This window comes from Homo sapiens, chromosome 2 (genome assembly GCF_000001405.40).
Source record: "Homo sapiens chromosome 2, GRCh38.p14 Primary Assembly".
NCBI lineage: Eukaryota > Metazoa > Chordata > Mammalia > Primates > Hominidae > Homo > Homo sapiens.
The window spans coordinates 66,845,728-66,852,792 of record NC_000002.12 but is presented as its reverse complement, the minus strand read 5'-3'; the positions used below and the strand labels follow the sequence as shown (position 1 = coordinate 66,852,792).

Here is a 7,065-nt window from a genome sequence, read left to right as displayed (position 1 = left end):
TGGTTGCTCCTTAAATTTTTCACGATTTGAAGAAACTTTAACTTTCTTTAGACTCCTAAAGAAAAATGGAAGCATAACTCCATCCACACACACTGAAATTATAACTATTACTATTATTGCTGAGCAGAAGATAACAGATTATCTGGCCCAATCCCTCATGAGGTGTGTGAGGAAACTGAGTTGAGAGCCCTTTGGTGACTTTTTCAAGATCACACAATTAATCAGTGGAGAGTTGATGCTACATTCTATGTCTCCTGTATTTGTTTTTTCTGCCTTCTCCTCTCATTGGAATTGAATTAAGTAAAATGTAGGAAATAGTCTACCTTATGTTAAAATCAGAGTTTTTCTGGCACATATGGAGCAGGTGGGGATTCCTACCAAGGCTTTGCCCATCCTGGTCTCCGGTCCTCAGCCAACATGTGTGAAAGATCAATTCACTGCAAAGGTTTCTCCTCCATTGCCCTCATTCTTCTCCCCCTTATGTTATTAGTCAATAAGGAATATTTCTTGGCTATGGGGAAGTCATAATGGATAGCATTGGTCTTGGAACACCTTGGTCTTTTAATGCTAGAGAGTGACCTTCTGAGCCTTGGTATGACTCCCAGAGAAATACCAAGTTAAGTTTCAGTAGATTGATTTGTCTTTTCATTGGTGATAAATCCCTTTGTCAAGTGTGGTAACTAAAGACTTTGATTTGGGCCCTGGGTCAAACAGTGACACTCCATAGGCTGAAGACAATTGCTCCCTGATGCTAGTGGAACAAATGGATACCTGGGACACATTAGGATAGCAGGCAACTCCAGAAGGAAGCAGACAACTAGAGGTGGGAGGAAGACAAACATATGGGGAGGCAGCCTCAACTCTCCTCATGCAAACCATTCAGGGGGCTGGAAATGTGTCCTTGCTTTTCCACACTGTGCCATTCCCACATTTCTTGCACATCACATCAGCAAACAATTTTGCTTACAGAGTTCTGAGCAGTTCAAAGTACATAGGACTGGAAATCACCCAGGGGACTAGGATAGCCCCTGAAGTATGTGAGAACCCAGTTAACAAGAGGTGATGACTCAAAACCTCCCCTCTCCAGGATCCTGAGTAAGACTTTTAGGAGAAAGCACTTAGGCTTCCTGAGAAAGAGTTGCCTACATGTTGGAAGCATGTACTTTAGAATTGCCTCATCATGAAATGTTTACAAATGAATTCATTTCTAAACCGATACAAGCATGGGATTCCAGCAGTCTGGGATGCAGCCTGGTTTGCCAGCTCTCAACCCAGATGGCCCTGATTCACAGCCTGTCTCCAGCACTTGCTGGCAATGTGACCTTTGAGAAGTTACTTAACCTCTCTGTGCATCTGATTTTTCAACTGTAAAACTGACATATCTCCCTTGTAGCCTGGTGAAGATTAAATTACTTAATTAATAGAATATACTTAGAATAGTGCCTAGCACGTACTAAGCACTCAGTAAAAGATTCAGTTCCATTTCTGATTCTGCTTTGATGCAAACATTAAGCCAGAAAAAAAGATGAGCGATTCCCTTGTTGTTACTCAATTATTCATAAATTGTTTTAAGAAGCAGGCTCTGATATTTCTTCTGGCACCACCCCTCAAAATAACCTGAGATTCTCTAGAATGGCATCAGCTGCTGAGAATATAGGGAATCTGTGTATTGGGAATGAGTATGCTGTTTGCCTTGCACCACATGATTAATTGTGTTTAAAGACCATTTTTATTAGGACCAGAATGGTGACAATAAAATTAAAGGAGCGCAGATTCAACATCTCCTTAACCAAAAGGAAAAATGAAAACGCCACACACAAACACAAAACGCAAACACACGCCCAAATGCAGAGGCAAAAAATAAAACCTTTCCCCTTTCCTCAGGCTTTCTCCATAAGCTGAGCTCTACCCAGACAAAGGCGAGAACTGCTCTGTGTAAAATGATGATCTCCATGGCTGCTTCCACAGAATGCCCTCATTTTTCTAGAATCCAAATGCTGGCTTAGCCAAGCCACAGTCTGCTCCCGAAGAAGGATTGCTGCAGCCCGAGGTCTCAGGAGGTCAGCAGCGGGCCCAGGCTCACTTGGGCTTAGGCTGCGCTCCTGCAGCCTCCCTCCCATCCCCCAGCCTGGGCAAACCTTGGCAGACTCCAGGTTGCAAGCCTGTGCCTCCCCACTGATGTGGAAATCATTGGACTCAGTGGTGGTTTAAGTGTGTTGTTGATGCTTTCATCAAAGCGTCGTGCTCCCACCTCATGCTAAGTAAAGCAGCTGGTGAATGTTATGTCGTGCACTGCAGATGGATTGGTGGTGGCAGGCCCAGAGCTCACCACATCTACTTAAACAGGTGTTTGATTCTGCATTTTCCAGGTAGCCAGAAGGAACCTGATTATTCGGTGAGAGTAGGAGCCACGCGGGAGAGGAATTGCTCCCCAGCATTGGCAAGGCAACTAGCCAGCCGCTTGGCTTTAATTCATCTGTTCACCAGACATGGTCTTAAAGCCAGAATATTTCCTTTTGGGGCCCGTGCTTACTTTGAATTTTAGTGGACAATAAGGGGATTCTGCTCCCAGCTCATACTCTTTTGTTGAGTGTGGTCTTTTAGTCTGGGGTGGGTTAGAACTAGGTCACCAGAACCAGTGGCCACTGCAGTTTGCAGTCAAGGCATCTCTGCTATACCAGCCCTGCTACCAGGTACAGCATGAGAAGCTGAAGTTGCTTCACAGTGTTGTATTTCTCCAGAACCACACATCCACCTTCATGAACAGAGGGCAGTGTGAGGGATCCTTTCTAGTCACCGGGAATGACAGACATAATCAACAGTTAGCCAGGAAATCACAAATAAAACAGCTACCCCTAAGAAGGCAGAAACCAAAAAAGCATCAAAGCAGCTTTTTGCAGCAAGAAGATCCACAAGTGAGTTTTCCATACAATCTAGAGCAAAGGAAACTGAAACCCTCCATCCACTGGGGCTTTTTATGAAATGAGCCTCAATGCCAATGCAGTGTACAATGATACTTCTAAAATGAACCCAAGAAACTCAAAAGACTTTAACGGGAAAAAAAACAAGGGAAAATAGCACAATACTAAGAGGAAAAAGCACACAACTGTAGAAACCAAGACTAGAAGAAACCCCGGCAAGGACTTCCCAAGAGAACACAAAGGAGAAAAAGCAAGCTGTTGCACTCCCCTTGTAGCTTGGAGCTTACAAATCCCCGAGGAAACCCTGCGAATAAACAGGGCACTCTAAAACGAGCTACAAGCGGGGCGGTGGAACCATTTCTCAGCAGTCTTGGAGTGAATTGAGTAAATCTGTCACAGCTTATAACTGGGGGGGAGTAGTGGGAAGGGCCCTCCTCATGGGGCCACCTGCCCCAGAGCTGGCACTGCGGGGCTGCTGCTCCTTCTCTTGGCTCCTGTGACCCTGCAGACTTCAGGGGGCAGGAAGGCAGCTGTCAGCTTTCACATGGCACTCGCTCCTGGCAAGCAAGCAAGTCCAGTGGCAGCCAAATCCTTGTCATGTTCCAATCAGCCCCACAATGGTGGAGCCTCCACTGACTGGTGGCAGGTCACAGGAGTGTGGGAGCTCATCTGCCTCCCACATCTGACTCCCTAAACCATACTGCCTCCCCTCCTGAAAGCCTGAAGAAGCCTATATAGGGAATTTCTTGTGCAGAGACCCTCTACACAACAAGTAACAGACATCACAAGGATCATGGATGGGTGTCTTCCCATGATAGTTTACTTATAATTTACCTTCTAAATTGTCCCAAACGACACCAAAGAATAATAAAGGCACATATACACATGTGTGTCCACATTTTAGTCTGGTTAAAATGGTTTCTAACCCTCGGCACTATTGAAATTTGGGGTCATGGAGGGGCTGCCCCATGAGTTGTAAGATGCTTAGCAGCATCCACTAGGTTGCCAGCAGCAACCCCACCCCGAGTTGTGACAACAGAAACATCTCCCGACATTACCAAATGTTCCCTGGGTGGGGGGTGTGGGGCATAAACAATTGAGAATTGCTAGGTTAAAATAAAGATATAATATAGATGTGTGTCTCTACACGTGTATAATAAAAAATTATAGAGAGAAATGGAGAGTCTAATGTTTTCAGAAACTGAACATTATATTTAGTCTGGGCAAGTTCTGAATGATGGAAGCCAGGGTAGGCAGTAGCTTTGCTGTGATAGTCCTGGCATGGTTGAAATTTATTGAGGGCATCCCAGGAGCTCAAAACTGTGCCCAGGTTCAGTGCAGTTTCATGCATGAACTCATTTGGTCCTTATTATTATCTCTACTTTATGGCGAGAAAAATGAGGCTGACAGAGGTTAACTAACTTTTCTGAGTCTGTACAGCTAAAAGGCGAGAGAGCCAGAATATGACCAGTGGGGTGACTGTTAGCCGCTAGAATTGTGCCCCCACAACATGATAGCCACGAACCACGTGTGGCCATTGAGCACTTGGAATGTGACTAGTTGGAACTAAGATGTGCCATGAATGTAAAAATACACTCCTGATTTCAAAGACCTGGTTCAAGAAAGATAATGTAAAGATATTTTATTAATGTCTTATGTTGAATAAATGTTGAAATTATATTTTGGTACATTGGATTAAATAAAATATATTATTGAAAATAATTTTCTGTAATTCTTTTTATGCTTTTAATGTGTCTAGTAAACATGTTTAAGATCTGGTGTGGTGGCTCATACCTGTAATCCCAGCACTTGGGGAGGCTGAGGCAGAGAGATTGCTTGAGGCAAGGAGATTGAGATCAACCTGGGCAAAACAGCAAGACCCAACTCTACAAAAAATAAAAAAGTAATTAGTCAAGCATGGTAGTGCATGATTGTAGTCCCAGCTACTCTGGAGGCTGAAATTGGAGGATCCCTTGAGCCCAGAAGTTAGAGGCTACAGTGACCACTGCACTCAAGCCTGGACAACAAAATAAGACCTTGTTTCTAAAAAAATAAAAAATATGAATTTTCAAAATACATATCTGGTTTGCATTAAATGTGCTAGATAATATAATACTATCTCCCCTTGCATCATTTTAAAGAAAGGCTAAAAAGAAAAATAATGTATGTGGGCCAGGAAAGAGATACCCTTAGCAATGAAACCAGTATTATCATCTTATATACAATTAAAATCAGATAAATACTTTTGGAAATTAAGTTATGTGTAACGTTCATAAAGGGCCAAGTGAATTCAAAATTAAACATTTCAAAGTGTTTATATTCAAATTCATATGTCAATCAACACAATTATTCTCTCCACTGGCATCAAGTCATGATTGCTTGGTTCCAGGCTCAGCCCTGAGTGGACCTGCAGCTGTGACAGCTTAGACATGCCCTTCTGTCCCTCTTCCTAATCACTCCACTGGCCTTACTCGCCACCTATGCCTTGTTTCTGTGCATTCAGTTGGTCCAAGGCAAAGGATGATTTCTAATCATCTTACAGTTCCAGATACTGGCCTTTCCCGAAACCTTTACTTGGATTTTTTTTTTTTTAATTTCACACAAGTTGTCATCCAGAATGCTTCTCCGAGTGCTTTCTGGCTGCCTGTTCAACCCACAGTGCCCCTTGTGCCTCCTCCCCTTATCTAGAGATACTATCCTCCGTCAAATTCCCACCTCCCTTCAAGGCCAGCCACATGCTCAGTAGGTCTCATGTTGGTAGCCTGGGGGCCTGAGTCCATTTTCTCACCTCCTATCCATGTGATCATGGACTGGATCTGAGAAATGTGCTTGATAATATTACTGACCTGGTAGGGTTGTTGTGAGGATTAATAATTAACCCATGCACAACCCTTGGAATACTGCCTGGAGCATGCTAAGTGCTTCATAAACTTTAGCCACTGACATTTTCAGTTGTCTTTGGATTTAACATAAGGGGCCACATCTTGTGCGTGAGGATATTCTTGTTTCCATCTGACCCATGTACCTGTGCCTATCCTTCCTCTCAACAATTGGTGAGGTCAACTGCAGACACTTGAGCTTGGTGGCACCCCCCAGGGATGGAGCAGGTGGCACAGCAGTGACAGAACAGCAGCAGGAGGAAACCTGCTTCTACCACATTGTTATTAAGGCTGATGAACAACTCTGATCATCACACAGTTGAAAATTATGGGATTCAGGACCAAAGCTAAGGGATTTGTTTCAAATCGGTAAATCCCCACAAGAGGAAGTCTCTAAAGCAGACTCCAGGAGAGCACACCCAGAAGGTGCATGCAACAGGCTGCAAAGGGCTTTGTTTGAAAGGGGCTGGGAGCAGGGAAGCGGGGACGGTGGGGTGGGCTGATGCTGCACTCCATTCCAGCTTGGTGCTGAGCCTTACAGGATAGAACAAAAGCAGGTGACAAGCTGGAGACCCAGGGAATGGCAAAACACCCCCTACTCTGGTCAGTAATTGGAGATGGATGAAAGTACCCGCTGAATAACCTCACTTTGCAACTTTTATTCAAAGGTTTGACAAATGACACCAGCAAAGTTACAAGAAAGTGATTAAAACCAGCCCTTGCAAGAAGGCAGAGATAACCATCTTGGGGTTTGAGTCTCCTTTAGTTCCCCCATCCAATCCCCTCACCCCCACCACTGCCTTGAGTTTTATAGAGTTTTCCGGAGCTTTAATATACTTTTTTTCATCTGGTCACGTTCTTCTTTCCTCCCTTTACCCTTCTCTGATACTTGAGCTTGTTCTTTGGGATCATTTTATCCAGTAGACTTTGTTCATTTAAAGAGTCAAAATGCTCATCAACTTGCTGTCCAGGCAGGAATTTTTGGCACGTAAGAACTTTCCCCAAAATCCTTACAAAGTCCCTTTCCTGTTGAGGAAAATCACTGGGGGCTCCTAGTACAGCCAGATTCTCAGGCTTCAGAGGAGACATTCTGAATCCGATTTTCTCTGGAAGAGGTCAGTCTTTGTATGACCAGGTGAATCTTATCATCAGAAAAGCCAGTGCAACTGCCAGGCTTTCTCCTGCCACTTGGCTGGCGAGTGGTTGCAGTGCAGGGTGGGGAAAGTCAGTATTAGTTCTCTGATGGTTATGCTTTGCCCCTTACT

At 44.1% G+C, this 7,065-nt stretch overlaps 1 annotated feature.

Moving 5' to 3' along the window:
• Positions 762-1,056: an enhancer, noted in NCBI's record as "tiled region #11234; HepG2 Activating DNase matched - State 9:DNaseU". NCBI's record gives its function as "activates a minimal TATA promoter and a strong SV40 promoter by Sharpr-MPRA in HepG2 cells {active_cell/tissue: HepG2}" and the evidence as "EXISTENCE:reporter gene assay evidence [ECO:0000049][PMID:27701403]".